The sequence below is a fragment of the Homo sapiens genome, chromosome 2, assembly GCF_000001405.40.
Source record: "Homo sapiens chromosome 2, GRCh38.p14 Primary Assembly".
Classification (NCBI taxonomy): Eukaryota; Metazoa; Chordata; class Mammalia; order Primates; family Hominidae; genus Homo; species Homo sapiens.
In genome coordinates this window covers 133455235-133472084 of record NC_000002.12, presented here as the reverse complement: position 1 = coordinate 133472084, position 16850 = coordinate 133455235, and the positions used below count along the sequence as shown (strand labels likewise).

The 16850-nt window shown below is 39.7% G+C and overlaps 1 protein-coding gene across 16 annotated transcripts in view, besides 1 other annotated feature; it reads left to right on the top strand.

Annotated features, from left to right (window-relative positions):
- Positions 1 to 16850, top strand: part of NCKAP5 (NCK associated protein 5) — a 1003049-nt gene that overhangs the window by 202752 nt on the left and 783447 nt on the right. The gene's annotated exons all lie outside the window — the stretch shown is intronic.
- Positions 1304 to 1820: an enhancer, noted in NCBI's record as "NANOG-H3K27ac-H3K4me1 hESC enhancer chr2:134227836-134228352 (GRCh37/hg19 assembly coordinates)". NCBI's record gives its function as "activates a minimal SCP1, AML or CMV promoter by ChIP-STARR-seq in naive H9 embryonic stem cells {active_cell/tissue: H9 hESC(naive)}" and the evidence as "EXISTENCE:reporter gene assay evidence [ECO:0000049][PMID:30033119]".

Genomic DNA, 16850 nt, shown 5'->3' with positions numbered 1-16850 from the left:
AGTTAAGATGGTGGGATTGTGGATGATTTTATATTTACCCTCAGGTTTTTCTTTTATGTTAGTCTATAACAATTGCTTCTAGAAGTTTACTCAATTAAATTTCTACATCCAGGACACTAAGTTGAGATAAAAAGAAAAATAAATAAAAGTTTATGATCAATGACCATGTCAAACTAAAGCATAACATATGGTCGTGAAAGTTTGAGACTTGAGTAAGATAATTTTTCAAGTGAGGTAGGGATGGCTTGCATCATCTCCTGGGCATTGCAGTGGTAGCCCTGATGAGGTGAGAGACAGTAGAGGGCATTTGGTCAGGACAAGGGGAGAGGAGTAGTGGCTGATCAACATTACCTTAGGTAAGAGATTCATGCAAGAGGAGTTTAGCCTATGATGATAAAGCCTGGGAGGAAGCCATGTTAACTGTGTATCCAAAGCATCAGTGGTCCTGGAAAGCAATTATCAGGAGATCACCCAAGGCAGTGTCTTTCTAAGTATATATACCCCAACCAACCCACAGCTTGAGACCCTCTGCCTGCTTGCTTCCCCCCTCCCCTCCCAGGTTTTTATTCCCCCTGATATGAAAACCTAGCAATGGCTCTAGCACTAGGTTCCTTGCAAAGACAGACCAAATTTGCAATGACTGGGTCGCAAGAGAGAAATGTCATTTGCTTTTTCCTAGGATGGGCTCCAGATCTCTCTCCACCTGTTAAAGACAAGTTGCTAGTGGCACTTAAATTACCAATTTTAAGGTTTTATAAAATCCAATACAGTCTAAAAAAGTGCATATGAGCCGCTCACTTAGCAGGAGTAAAGTGGCTGTTCGTGCTGAGGCCAAGATGACAGGTAAGCACACCCACAAAAGAGGGGTGTGCACCCAAGGATGGTGCATGCCACCTGAGAGGACTCTAACCTTTGAAAAAAAAATTAAAGAGCTGACAATTGAGCTGAACTGTTTTTAGGATCAAAAAGTGTAATCCCGAGTTTCTTGTGGAATGACTGATGATTGATGATGATGATGATGATCAGTACATAAAAGCAAAAGCAGGGGGGGAGGAGCCAAGATGGCCGAATAGGAACAGCTCCAGTCTACAGCTCCCAGCGTGAGCGATGCAGAAGACGGGTGATTTCTGCATTTCCATCTGACGTACTGGGTTCATCTCACTAGGGAGTGCCAGACAGTGGGCGCAGGTCAGTGGGTGCGCGCACCATGCGCAAGCCAAAGCAGGGTGAGGCATTGCCTCACTTGGGAAGCGCAAGGGGTCAGGGAGTTCCCTTTCCTAGTCAAAGAAAGGGGTGACGGACAGCACCTGGAAAATCGGGTCACTCCCACCTGAATACTGTACTTTTCCGACAGGCTTAAAAAACGGCGCACCACGAGATTATATCCTGCACCTGGCTTGGAGGGTCCTACGCCCATGGAGTCTCGCTGATTACTAGCACAGCAGTCTGAGATCAAACTGCAAGGCGGCAGCGAGGCTGGGGGAGGGGCACCCGCCATTGCCCAGCCTTGATTAGGTAAACAAAGCAGCCAGGAAGCTCGAACTGGGTGGAGCCCACCACAGCTCAAGGAGGCCTGCCTGCCTCTGTAGGCTCCACCTCTGGGGGCAGGGCACAGACAAACAAAAAGACAGCAGCAACCTCTGCAGACTTAAATGTCCCTGTCTGACAGCTTTGAAGAGAGCAGTGGTTCTCCCAGCACGCAGCTGGAGATCTGGGAACCGGCAGACTGCCTCCTCAAGTGGGTCCCTGACCCCTGACCCCCGAGCAGCCTAACTGGGAGGCACCCCCCAGCAGGGGCACACTGACACCTCACACGGCAGGGTATTCCAACAGACCTGCAGCTGAGGGTCCTGTCTGTTAGAAGGAAAACTAACAAACAGAAAGGACATCCACATCGAAAACCCATCTGTACATCACCATCATCAAAGACCAAAAGTAGATAAAACCACAAAGATGGGGAAAAAGCAGAACAGAAAAACTGGAAACTCTAAAAAGCAGAGCACCTCTCCTCCTCCAAAGGAACGCAGTTCCTCACCAGCAATGGAACAAAGCTGGATGGAGAATGACTTTGTTGAGCTGAGAGAAGAAGGCTTCAGACGATCAAATTACTCTGAGCTACAGGAGGACATTCAAACCAAAGGCAAAGAAGTTGAAAACTTTGAAAAAAATTTAGAAGAATGTATGACTAGAATAACCAATACAGAGAAGTGCTTAAAGGAGCTGATGGAGCTGAAAACCAAGGCTCGAGAACTACATGAAGAATGTAGAAGCCTCAGGAGCCGATGCGATCAACTGGAAGAAAGGGTATCAGCAATGGAAGATGAAATGAATGAAATGAAGCGAGAAGGGAAGTTTAGAGAAAAAAGAATAAAAAGAAATGAGCAAAGCCTCCAAGAAATATGGGACTATGTGAAAAGACCAAATCTACATCTGATGGGTGTACCTGAAAGTGATGGGGAGAATGGAAGCAAGTTGGAAAACACGCTGCAGGATATTATCCAGGAGAACTTCCCCAATCTAGCAAGGTAGGCCAACATTCAGATTCAGGAAATACAGAGAGTGCCACAAAGATACTCCTCGAGAAGAGCAACTCCAAGACACATAATTTTCAGATTCACCAAAGTTGAAATGAAGGAAAAAATGTTAAGGGCAGCCAGAGAGAAAGGTCGGGTTACCCTCAAAGGGAAGCCCATAAGACTAACAGCGGATCTCTCGGCAGAAACCCTACAAGCCAGAAGAGAGTGGGGGCCAATATTCAACATTCTTAAAGAAAAGAATTTTCAACCCAGAATTTCATATCCAGCCAAACTAAGCTTCATAAGCAAAGGAGAAATAAAATACTTTACAGACAAGCAAATGCTGAGAGATTTTGTCACCACCAGGCCTGCCCTAAAAGAGCTCCTGAAGGAAGCGCTAAATATGGAAAGGAAAAGCCGGTACCAGCCACTGCAAAATCATGCCAAAACGTAAAGACCATCGAGACTAGGAAGAAACTGCATCAACTAATGAGCAAAATCACCAGCTAACATCATAATGACAGGATCAAATTCACACATAACAATATTAACTTTAAATGTAAATGGACTAAATGCTCCAATTAAAAGACACAGACTGGCAAATTGGATCAAGAGTCAAGACCCATCAGTGTGCTGTATTCAGGAAACCCATCTTACGTTCAGAGACACACATAGGCTCAAAATCTAAGGATGGAGGAAGATCTACCAAGCAAATGGAAAACAAAAAAAGGCAGGGGTTGCAAACCTACTCTCTGATAAAACAGACTTTAAACCAACAAAGATCAAAAGAGACAAAGATGGCCATTACATAATGGTAAAGGGATCAATTCAACAAGAACAGCTGACTATCCTAAATATATATGCACCCAATACAGGAGCACCAAGATTCATAAAGCAACTCCTGAGTGACCTACAAAGAGACTTAGATTCCCACACATTAATAATGGAGACTTTAACACCCCACTGTCAGCATTAGACAGATCAACGAGACAGAAAGTCAACAAGGATACCCAGGAATTGAACTCAGCTCCGCACCAAGCGGACCTAATAGACATCTACAGAACTCTCCACCCCAAATCAACAGAATATACATTTTTTTCAGCACCACACCACACCTATTCCAAAATTGACCACATACTTGGAAGTAAAGCTCTCCTCAGCAAATGTAAAAGAACAGAAATTATAACAAACTGTCTCTCAGACCACAGTGCAATCAAACTAGAACTCAGGATTAAGAATCTCACTCAAAACCGCTCAACTACATAGAAACTGAACAACCTGCTCCTGAATGACTACTGGGTACATAACGAAATGAAGGCAGAAATAAAAATGTTCTTTGAAACCAACTAGAACAAAGACACAATATACCAGAATCTCTGGGATGCATTCAAAGCAGTATGTAGAGGGAAATTTACAGCACTAAATGCCCACAAGAGAAAGCAGGAAAGATCCAAAATTGACACCCTAACATCACAATTAAAAGAACTAGAAAAGCAAGAGCAAACACATTCAAAAGCTATCAGAAGACAAGAAATAACTAAAATCAGAGCAGAACTGAAGGAAATAGAGACACAAAAAACCCTTCAAAAAATTAATGAATCCAGGAGCTGGTTTTTTGAAAGGATCAACAAAATTGATAGACCGCTAGCAAGACTAATAAAGAAGAAAAGAGAGAAGAATCAAATAGACACAATAAAAAATGATAAAGGGGATATCACCACCAATCCCACAGAAATACAAACCACCATCAGAGAATACTACAAACACCTCTACGCAAATAAACTAGAAAATCTAGAAGAAATGGATACATTCCTGGACACATACACTCTCCCAAGACTAAACCAGGAAGAAGTTGAATCTCTGAATAGACCAATAACAGGAGCTGAAATTGTGGCAATAATCAATAGCTTACCAACCAAAAAGAGTCCAGGACCAGATGGATCCATAGCTGAATTCTACCAGAGGTACAAGGAGGAACTGGTACCATTCCTTCTGAAACTATTCCAATCAATAGAAAAAGAGGGAATCCTCCCTAACTCATTTTATGAGGCCAGCATCATTCTGATACCAAAGCCAGGCAGAGACACAACAAAAAAAGAGAATTTTAGACCAATATCCCTGATGAACATTGATGCAAAAATCCTCAATAAAATACTGGCAAAATGAATCCAGCTGCACATCAAAAAGCTTATCCACCATGATCAAGTGGGCTTCATCCCTGGGATGCAAGTCTGGTTCAATATATGCAAATCAATAAATGTAATCCAGCATATAAACAGAGCCAAAGACAAAAACCACATGATTATCTCAATAGATGCAGAAAAAGCCTTTGACAAAATTCAACAACCCTTCATGCTAAAAACTCTCAATAAATTAGGTATTGATGGGACGTATTTCAAAATAATAAGAGCTATCTATGACAAACCCACAGCCAGTATCATACTGAATGGGCAAAAACTGGAAGCATTCCCTTTGAAAACTGGCACAAGACAGGGATGCCCTCTCTCACCACTCCTATTCAACATAATGTTGGAAGTTCTGGCCAGGGCAATCAGGCAGGAGAAGGAAATAAAGGGTATTCAATTAGGAAAAGAGGAAGTCAAATTGTCCCTGTTTGCAGATGACATGATTGTATATCTAGAAAACCCATTATCTCAGCCCAAAATCTCCTTAAGCTGATAAGCAACTTCAGCAAAGTCTCAGCATACAAAATCAATGTACAAAAATCACAAGCATTCTTATACACCAACAACAGACAAACAGAGAGCCAAATCATGAGTGAACTCCCATTCACAATTGCTTCAAAGAGAATAAAATACCTAGGAATCCAACTTACAAGGGATGTGAAGGACTTCTTCCAGGAGAATTACAAACCACTGCTCAAGGAAATAAAAGAGGATACAAACAAACGGAAGAACATTCCATGCTCATGGGTAGGAAGAATCAATATCGTGAAAATGGCCATACTGCCCAAGGTAATTTTTAGATTCAATGCCATCCCCATCAAGCTACCAATGCCTTTCTTCACAGAATTGGAAAAAACTACTTTAAAGTTCATATGGAACCAAAAAAGAGCCCGCATCGCCAAGTCAATCCTAAGCCAAAAGAACAAAGCTGGAGGCATCACACTACCTGACTTCAAACTATACTACAAGGCTACAGTAACCAAAACAGCATGGTACTGGTACCAAAACAGGGATATAGATCAATGGAACAGAACAGAGCCCTCAGAAATAATGCCGCATATCTACAACTATCTGATCTTTGACAAACCTGAGAAAAACAAGCAATGGGGAAAGGATTCCCTATTTAATAAATGGTGCTGGGAAAACTGGCTAGCCATATGTAGAAATCTGAAACTGGATCCCTTCCTTACACCTTATACAAAAATCAATTCAAGATGGATTAAAGACTTAAACGTTAGACCTAAAACCATAAAAACCCTAGAAGAAAACCTAGGCATTACCATTCAGGACATAGGCATGGGCAAGGACTTCATGTCTAAAACACCAAAAGCAATGGCAACAAAAGACAAAATTGACAAATGGGATCTCATTAAACTAAAGAACTTCTGCACAGCAAAAGAAACTACCATCAGAGTGAACAGGCAACCTACAACATGGGAGAAAATTTTCGCAACCTACTCATCTGACAAAGGGCTAATATCCAGAATCTACAATGAACTCAAACAAATTTACAAGAAAAAAACAAACAACCCCATCAAAAAGTGGGCGAAGGACATGAACAGACACTTCTCAAAAGAAGACATTTATGCAGCCAAAAGACACATGAAAAAATGCTCATCATCACTGGCCATCAGAGAAATGCAAATCAAAACCACAATGAGGTACCATCTCACACCAGTTAGAATGGCAATCATTAAAAAGTCAGGAAACAACAGGTGCTGGAGAGGATGTGGAAAAATAGGAACACTTTTACACTGTTGGTGGGACTGTAAACTAGTTCAACCATTGTGGAAGTCAGTATGGCAATTCCTCAGGGATCTAGAACTGGAAATACCATTTGACCCAGCCATCCCATTACTGGGTATATACCCAAAGGACTATAAATCATGCTGCTATAAAGACACATGCACACGTGTGTTTATTGCGGCATTATTCACGATAGCAAAGACTTGGAACCAACCCAAATGTCCAACAATGATAGACTGGATTAAGAAAATGTGGCACATATACACCATGGAATACTATGCAGCCATAAAAAATGATGAGTTCATGTCCTTTGTAGGGACATGGATAAAATGGGAAATCATCATTCTCAGTAAACTATCTCAAGAACAGAAAACCAAACACCGCATATTCTCACTCATAGGTGGGAATTGAACAATGAGATCACATGGACACAGGAAGGGGAATATCACACTCTGGGGACTGTTGTGGGGTGGGGGGAGGGGGGAGGGATAGCACTGGGAGATACACCTAATGCTAGATGACGAGTTAGTGGGTACAGCACACCAGCATGGCACATGTATACATATGTAACTAACCTGCACAATGTGCACATGTACCCTAAAACTTAAAGTATAATAATAAAAAAAAAAAGCAAAAGCAGTGCCAGATACTATTCTGTGTATTTACATATCTTAAATCATGTGATCTTCTCAATTAGTCTATAATTGGCCCCAAGTTACAGATGGAAACATCAAGCTTCACCGAGAGCCCCATGCCACGTTGGCAAGTGATGAGGAGTGTCTGACTTGCAAGTTCTCTTCTTAAGTTGAAGTCTCAGTCCAGACAAAGCTGAAGGCAATGACAAGGTGGCATCCAAGTTTTCTACTCCTCACTGCCTTCTTCCCACATCTCAGGCTACTCCTCATTAACTTATTTCCACATTTATTTATTCATTTGTTTATTTATTTAAGATGGAGTCTCACTCTCTCACCCAGGCTGGAGTGCAGTGGTGGGATCTCGGCTCACTGAAAGCTCTGCCTCCCAGGTTCACACCATTCTCCTGTCTCAGCCTCCTGAGTAGCTGGGACTACAGGCACCGGCCACCACACCCGGCTAATTTTTTTGTATTTTTAGTAGAGACTGGGTTTCACCGTGTTAGCCGGGATGGTCTCAATCTCCTGACCTCATGATCCACCTGCCTTGGCCCCCAAAGGGCTGGGATTACAGGTGTGAGCCACCACTCCCAGCCCATTTATTTTATTTATTCATTTAGCAAATGTTTGCTGAACATTTTTGTACCTAGGTACTATGATAGGTGCCATTTCTATCCTCAAGGAGCTGGCAATTCATATATGTCAAAGAGAAGCCATAAGGTACTTCCTTTAAGTGAAAAGGTAAAAGTTCTTGATTTAATAAAGAAGGACTCATGTGTACAGATTATCTTAGAATACTGTGTTTCTGTCTTTCTGTTCAAAATCATCTGTTTTTTGAACCTGTGAGATATTCCCAGAAGCCCAGAGGACTCATATATATTGCTAGTGAGCAAGCAAACTGAAGTCTTGTACAGCCAGAGCCCGTTGATGGAAAGTTGGGGCATGCAGGCTCCCCCGTGCTGTTTGCAGTCACTCCACATGATGATGCTGAACTGAAATCCCCAAGCTTGGTCCAATGGGATGCTCACCAAAATGTATGGTTAACATGAGGAAGAGATTGGATTATAAATCTTAGGAAGTAGGCCTTCTGAGATAATATCTGATGCAAGAACCTCAAGGAAAACTAAATTCTTTAATCGATTGAAACCCTGCCTTACAAAAGCTTTTAAGCATTTAGACACCATCATATAAATCAAGTTGGAAATATCCCACCAAGGAATAAAGAGTTGTTGCCATGTAAAATATTAATTTGTCTTTTCAAGGCAAAGCAAACACTTCATTTGGAAGAACATTGCCTAGGAGGTGGTAGAGAAAGTAGGAAACATGGAATAAACTCACTGCATTGGCCTTGGATGCCCACTTAAGTATCTCAGGGCTTTGGGCTTCTCATGCTGAGAAATGGGGGCCCTTTAATGCTAAAACTTGGTTCTAGTAACTTTTATTTCAAGTAGTTCTCATGCCTTCAATGATTACATATTCCATGGCAGTTGTTCCCAACTATTTGCTAGAAAATAATCTGGAATTGAACAATGGACTTCAGCCTAAAACTTAAAGATGTGCTCCTGGAATTGAAAAGGAATGTTCAGAGTGGATTTACAAATATAGTTTTTCTTCAAAAACACTATTTGTGAATCACAAAAGGGCAAACATCTACCACATGGCCATTTCTTCATTTGCTACAATATGCATGCATCTGGAGTCACACTGAAACCAGCCTGGAAGACTACCAGAAAGGAAACTATATGATTAGCAAAGTTAAAACCTGATTTGTATCTAAAAAATGTGGCGTATGCTCATTTATGTGCAAATGTAATGGAAAAAGGCTGTAGGTAAAGTGGCTAAAGCCTAAACAAAATAAACACTTAATTTTCTTTTATTGTACCCTGTGACTATTAATAATATTATGGTACCAAGTCAGAAACATTAAGCCAAGCAGGGGAGCAATAAATGTTCCTAGACTGTGCACCAATGTTGATATTAGCGACTAATCGCTCCAGAGTTCACATAAAACGCAGATGGAAGTACAAAGAAGATATTCGGTGAAGTCAGCAGTGGCAGAGAACTGTTTCACAGGTGAAACCAATAATGAGAGGGCTGGCTCAGCAGGAGTAGGGCCGGTGGAAGATATCAGAAAACGACTTTGTAAATCATTGCATTTTAACATGTCTGTTGCCTATTGACATATTCATGCTCTTATGCTTGTGGCTTGTGAGGTTCTCAGTCTCAATTCCAACTGGCAATACTGTTTAAGAATTTGCAAAGTTCCTTATTCTGTCATCATCATAACTTACTGACATGGGTAATATGGTTATTATTCTCCCCATTTTACAGATCAAGAAATCCAAGTTCTGTGTATGATATAACACACAAGACTCAGTAGTAAAACTCTAGGCTTGCGTTGCTAGTTCTCATCTACTTGTGATGATCTCTCTAAAATCATGGTCATGATTGTCTTATAAAAGTATATTTGGAACTTCCATTTCTGATGCTATCTTGGACCAGAGATTCCATTCTTTCCAATAAGAAAACTAAAATGCTGGTTAAAAATATAAAACAAACATACACAGTTTTAAAAACCCATAATTTCAAATGCCTTGCGAAGCCGGCACAAAAACAAGGAATCTGTAGAAGCCAAGATTTAGTAACAACAGGAATTTAGAAAGAAAGTGGGCACCAAGACATCTGCCCATCCATTATGGCTCCACTCTGACAACTTTATCATGTGATGTGACCGGCAGGTAAAGATCAGAGCCCAATGAAGGTGAGACCCAAAAGGGATGCAATCTCAGAATGATGAGAGCTGGAATTGACTGTACTGCCTGGAAGATACCAACAAGGAAACTTGCCTATAAGGCCCAAGCAGAACTTAAGCAAATACATTTTTAAAATTATTTAGGGTTGTTAGGCAAAAGCAAATACATTCCCTATGTGAAATAATGCAACTTTAACCCAGACTTCAAAACATTCCTGCAAAATTATTTTCCCATAGAACATAACCATATATTCCCATAGAACATAAACATGAACTCATGGTCAAAAATCCTCAAACATAAAGGGAAACATGACACAGTAAGTGAAAAGCAGAAGAAATAGCAGAGTCAGACCTGCAGAGACTTTGATATTGGAAATATTAGGCATATCCTATGAAATCTTCACGTTTCATGTTGTGATGGGTAGCTACTCATAAAGTCCATTTTAACCTACTCCACGGTAGTAGTAGTATGTAGGATGGATGACTGCCTAGCTTGGCCACATTTCTCAGTTCTCTTTGCAATCAGGTGAGGCTGTGTCATCAGGATCTCACACATAGAATGGAAGTAGAAGTGATGTGTCAATGCACCCTCTTGTCTCTTCACACTCGGCTGGAGCCCAGGAGGGCATCAACCTAGCTTTAACCACACACATGTTGACCATGTCCTAGGGGATGGTGGAGCAATTGCTTGGTTGGGACTTGGAACTCTGAGTGGGCGCAGAAAGGAGATCTGTCCCATTGATCTAGCCCATTCACACTGAGACCAGGTGAGAGAGATATAAACCTTAGGTCATTCAATCTCTGCTTCTCATTATTGAAGCTCTAGCTTTACCCTAATGCGTAGCTGTTAGAAAAATAATAAAGAAACTTGAAAATGGAAGCAAAACCCAGTAAACTATTAAGAAGTTTTGATCAAGGAGATTTGAAAAAGAATCAAATAGAACTTCTAGAAAAAAATCTTCATTTAACTTATATAACTCATAAAATACAACAGAAAATGAATGGAAAAAGTTATCCATGACTTCACCTCTCAAAGATAAATAATGTTTCTATTTGGAGGTCCTTCCTCCCAATGGGCACAGCATGAAGATTGCCTGAGACCTGCTGTCATTTCCCGCCCCTCTCTATTCACCTGCCCCATCCCATCTCCCTTTGGCTGCAGTAAAACGTAGCGCTTTGTGTTGCTTGTTCAGGAAGAACATCATTTAGATTTCCTAGCAACCAACAGAAAAGTTACTTAAGCCCATTCTCTTCCAAACCAAATTTAGAAAAATCATTTTAATAGATTTTTCTTTGTATTATATCAAAAGATAGCCTGTTTTTCTCTGAAAACTATAAATAATGCTTTGATTTAGCTTAAATGTTATAAATTCTCTATTTTGGCTTACCTATGAAATTTTTATCATAATGTTGTATTTAGCTGTTTTGTAAAGGAAATAGTCTAAATACAAAAATAAAATATAGGATTTTTCTCTCCTTAATAAAAATCTTATTTTTTCCTCAAGATTAAATTTCTTAGCTCTCTCTAATTGATTTAGGTGCTATTTCTGCAGTTAGAGGAAGAAAATAAAATTATTTTAAGTTACAGTTTATAGTTTGTACCTGACAATTCTAGTTAAATGTTCAATGGCTATTCTTTCATGGTTTTATGAGCATTATATGCATCTGCTCCTAAGCGTTATTCTAGTAAATGAGCGACAATTATTCTATTCTCAGAAGTGTAGATTAAATTTTAATTTTATTTAAAGTTGCAATATGAAGTATATTAGTGAATATTTCTGAACTCCTTTTGATACTTAGTAGTAATAAGATATTTACAGCCAAACTCATGTTAGAATATATTGCTCAAATAGGTAATATGCATAAAATTAAAATATATTGGCCTTCTTCTTAAGATTTATTCTGCCATTAATTCTAAAATCAGGTAGCTCTAAGCAGACCTCAGGCAATACAATAATTCATTAATGGATGAATTTCAGCCCTCTATGTGATTCAGCTCAGTAAGTGAGCAATTTAGAATTTTTTGCTGAATGTTAAAGTATATAACCATATAGGGTGGTGAATATGTGTGAGCTAATTTCCTTGTTAGTGTTGGAAGGGTAGCAAGAGGAAAATGTAGTTAGAGGGCTCTTATTTATGCATCCAATGGAGACAGAGTGTAATTTAAAATCATAAAACTAAGCATTAGTCACAAATAGCACCTTTTTTCTATCTGCTAATTACTAGTAAAGGAAAAATGAACTGATGCGAGTTTTATCTTTCCTCTTTTTGCACGTAAGTCTTTGAAAATGTACTTATCAATGTTTTAAATATCAAACAGACATAACACTGAACTTGATATTTAAAGTAGGAACATTTCATTCCACATGGACCTACACACATTTGAGTAATAGTTCATGTAAAAGTGCTTCCTAATGAAAGTGTGTGCTTCCCACGCCTGAACAGGAAGTTACAGACTCATTACGTGTTTGTAATTACCCATGCATTGTGTGATCATGAGTTAAATACATCTTCATGATTCACATAGAAAGCTGTCTGTAATGATTAGTATACCTCAATAGGCCTTTATCAGGTCAACAGAATCCAGGCCATTGCAGTTTTTGAGGATCCCAGTATATTAAAATGTGTCCAGACACATTTTAGGCATTTTCATTTAATAACTAAAGTTAAATCCTTCATGTGGTATTCTTTCAACTATTATAGTATATTTCTTTATACATAGGTATGATTTCACTTGGAGATAACACCGAACGTCTACCTTTGGGACTATGGGTGAAAGGAAGGCCTGGACTAAATGAGCCTCCTCTGATAGGCCCCAGAGGAACCCTATAAGAACCTTACACTCATATAAGCCAAAGAGAAATTGTTAGCCCATGAAGTCTTGGGCTTTGCTGAAGCTCACCTCTCAATTTGGGCGAAATGTGGTGGTTCACACCTGTAATCTTGGCATTTTGGAAGGCAGGAGGATCACCTGAGGCCAGGCGTTCCAGACCAGCCTGAGCAACAAAGTGAGACCCCGTCTCTATCAATTTGAGAGAATTGTACAAAACATACATGGAATCTGGCTTTGTGAAGGAAAATGCTAAGAAAATCCTTCCTTAGCCAGATGCCAAATGCTACAACTATTGACCAAGGCTTTGTGTTAGTTCTACTTGCCATGAACTTAGCATCAGAGAGAAAAGAACACAGAACTGCAGAGAGTTCAGGTAAAGCCGAGGAAGGTCCATCACTAGCCAAAGATGGACTAGATGCATATTTAGATTTCACAAGGCAGGTAGTGATTCAACTCTTTCTTAGGCAAGATTTGCTTCAGTTGTAGAAAACCATTTTAAGGATTTTCTAATGAGATCTGTCTACATGCAGATGAAATTCCCCCTAGACCAGCTCATAATTTTGACATCTCAATTTGACAACATTGATAACTTAACAATTTAAACAGACTGTGGCTTGTGCCTGTGTTCCTAAACCCCGAGAGTCCTTATCAGCCTCCTCTTCATCCCCCTCCTGCCACCCAGATCCTCCTCTTGCAGTCCTGTTAACATCCAGGAAAATGTATCCATAACTTTTCTGGAGGTGTATATAACAACAATAACAAAATTTCCTTTCCTTTCTTGGGGGCTTACTTTTCCCTTGTGGTAGATTTATCAAAGGTGACACTCAGAATCCAAAAGACTCAGTGTCACATTGTGGACTTGCAAGGTAGGTGTGCATTGTGGGGATAGGAAATAATGTCTCACTCCATATTTCATCGTTTTGGTTGGACAGCAGCCAGGATGTTGCAAGGCCCTTCAAGTTTTCACCGGCTCTGCACACATGAACCATCTAGATGCCCAACACATAATGTTGCTCATGTTTTTAAATTGCACTTGATGCTTAGGATATGGCGTTTTGAAATTGAGATGAGGAAGAGGGATGAAAACTTTCATGGTAGAAAGGAGCATTGCTTTCATTGTTGAAAGAGTTTCATTTTCCCATGCTCTTCATGATTAATATTAGCACCTTATTCTCTCCTCCAACAGCTAGTAGATTTTCGCTAATCCAGTAAACGTTACTCTAGCTGGTAGCCTGTCAGTACCTAGTCCAGTGACAATGGATGGACCCACTCCAAACTCAATAAAGTTTGTCTTTAACTCTGTTTGTTCAGCTTAAACTGAACAAAAACTTTGCTGATGTTCATGGATCTCAGAATTTTTAACATAGCCTCCAGGCATGGTTGCACATGGCAGCCAAGCTCATAACAGATTTACTGGCTGCAATGTAACAGAGACCTATCATCAAGGCTGAATCACATAAAGTGGTGGGAAAGGGCGTACACACTTACACACTAATTTAAACAGAGACAAGAGGAGAAAATCGTGTTTAACTTTTGTCCTTAACAGAATTGTTAGAAATTGTAAGGTGTACCATTTTAGTTGCATAACCAATTATTATGTGTAGCATGAAAAAACTAGAAAAAAGAATTGAGATTTACTCACTAATTCTAAAAAATGGGAGAGGGAGAAAAACTGGCCCTTTAAGAATAGATTTCCTTTTTTCAAATTACACAAACGAATGCTATTTGAGTTGCCTTGCACCTCTCCTTACTTGGCAACCCATGAGTGTTAATTTTGATCTGTATTACTGATTGTTCTGAATGAAACCATTTCCATAAGATTTTGTTCCTTCAGACTGTCTAAAAATAATTACCTTATAATTTCTCTTCCCATCTTAAATATTTTACACTCATCCTTAAACCAGCTGTAAAATCTTTTAAAAGCATCCTATTTTGAAATATGCAGATTAAGGCTGCATTGCCATTCTGTCTTAGAAATGGTGTAGGTGTGTTTCTGTGGGCATCTTTCTCTTCACATCAAATGAGAAAGAGTTCTCAGTGGTAGGATTTGATATCTCACCAAGGGAAGGGGTGACTCTTTGAGGTCATATTTTAGCTTTGGCTCTACAGACACTGGAAGCCATTATCTTAAAATGCTCTAAATTCAGTTCCAAAATGGAAAGATGATTACATGATTAATGGAGGTTTATAAAGATCATTGAAATCTTAGCCTGGATAAAGCCATCAGAAACTATTTAATCCAATTTCCCCTGTCTCCAGGCCGGCCACATGGGAATCAGTTTGTCAGATGGAATCTCTGTCTTCATCATGTACCTCTCAAGTCCCCTTTTTGTATGAAATACAATGCATCCTTGTCCTGACTTAAGGACCTACTCTTACCTGGGGCCCCTTTGCTACGAATGCTGCACATTAGAGATGAAGCTCATAGCTGTGTTAACGGAAGACATTGGTTGGACAGTGCAGAAATGGAAATACAAAGATCTTGTTACACCTATGACGTGTCCGACAGTCCTGATAATGTTCATAAGCAGCTATGTAGTTGCTGAGAGAAAGGTGGTTAAATGTGTGGGTTTGACACTACTTAGACTGGTAAAGTTTACTTTCCTTTGGCCAAGTATCTGGGAAATAAGTACTTCTGTTAAACAAGAAAGGCCAATTAAAAAGAAATTGTGTTTGCTTTATCCAACTAATTGTTACTAATGGAAAAATAATTTCAGACTAATGTATTACTGATTTGGGGTCAGCAGCCTCCTTCAAATTCACTACATAATAAGGTTATTTCATCAACTAGGAGTTGTGTACACCTGCAAGTAAGACATCTAAAATATCATGACATACAAAAAAGGATTTATCTTTCTCCCATGGAACATGAACTGCAGAGGAAGGCGAATTACAGGTGATATGGATGACTCCTTGATGTCATCAGGAGCCTGCACTCCTTTTCTCTTCTGTCCCGCCATTCTTATCACATGGCTTCTGCTCTCAAGGTCACTTCAGGTCACAATATGACTGATGCAGAGTGCAGCTAGCAAGAAGGCGGAGAGGGAAGGGCAAAAGGGCACCTGCCAAATCAGGCACCTTTAGAGAATTTTCCTGAAAGCCCACACGATGGCAATCAGTGCCTCCTACTTACATCATAATTGCTACTCCTTTCTGCATGGGGGCCTGGGACATGTTCTCTTGCAGTTGGGTAGATTGCTACCGCTGCAATATGGGGGTTTTGTTAGTGAAGAATAAAAGCAACAATGAAAATTTAGCAAGGAACTCCCAATGTCTGCTACAGGTCCCATCCTTAATTTATGCTTGTTGTGGGTTATTCCTTGAGATCATAAAGTGATAATATCATTGCTCATAAAACAACAAATGTGCAGAGAATCTAACAAGATATGGCACACCATCACAAAAGATACAGAGCCCGGATGTTTATCCATTTTGGTACTGTCTGATTTAGTGAAGTTCAGCTGCTTCCCAGCTCCTGTGGTTTAGAAAATTAAGTTACAGTGCGTTTTTGCCTAGACTGACTTTTATGGTGGATTTATTTACATCTAACCACGGCTGATATAAGACTTAATGCTTGTGAAGTCTTAATGTCACAGCTATTTGATTGTCAGGATTTCAAACATAAAAAGGGGGTTTAAGTTCTGTTTTCTTGTATAAAAAAATAAGTTTGTTTTTCAAAGTGCAAGGACTTTTTCAGCGAGGGTCTTTTATTGCTTTCCTTTCATATTGTCTTCTATTTTTAATATATGGTGATGGTATTAGAAGTGATGGGGAGAGCATTTGGATATGAAAATGCCTTAGCTTCTGATCATAATTTGAATGAGCAGAAAAACATACGAAAGAAAAAAGGGAGAAACAGATTGTAAATTGGACCCAATGGAGAATGATCATCTTATAGACCATTCTAAATATGATTATTCCACTGGGTAGAGCATGCTGAACAATGGATGATATATATATCTAGGGCCCAGTGGTAAAAATATGAGATGGCGAAGGTAGAGTAATAATAAAGACATTGGAAAATCTGTCCCATGAAAATGACTAAAGCCACTTGGCTACAATAAGGCCTAGAAGGGAGGAAAGCCATAATTTTATTATTCATAAAGGCATACCAAATAGCTGACCTTAAACTTTGAAAGGGATGAAATGGGCATAAACTTCATCGAGATGTATCATTTTAGGCTT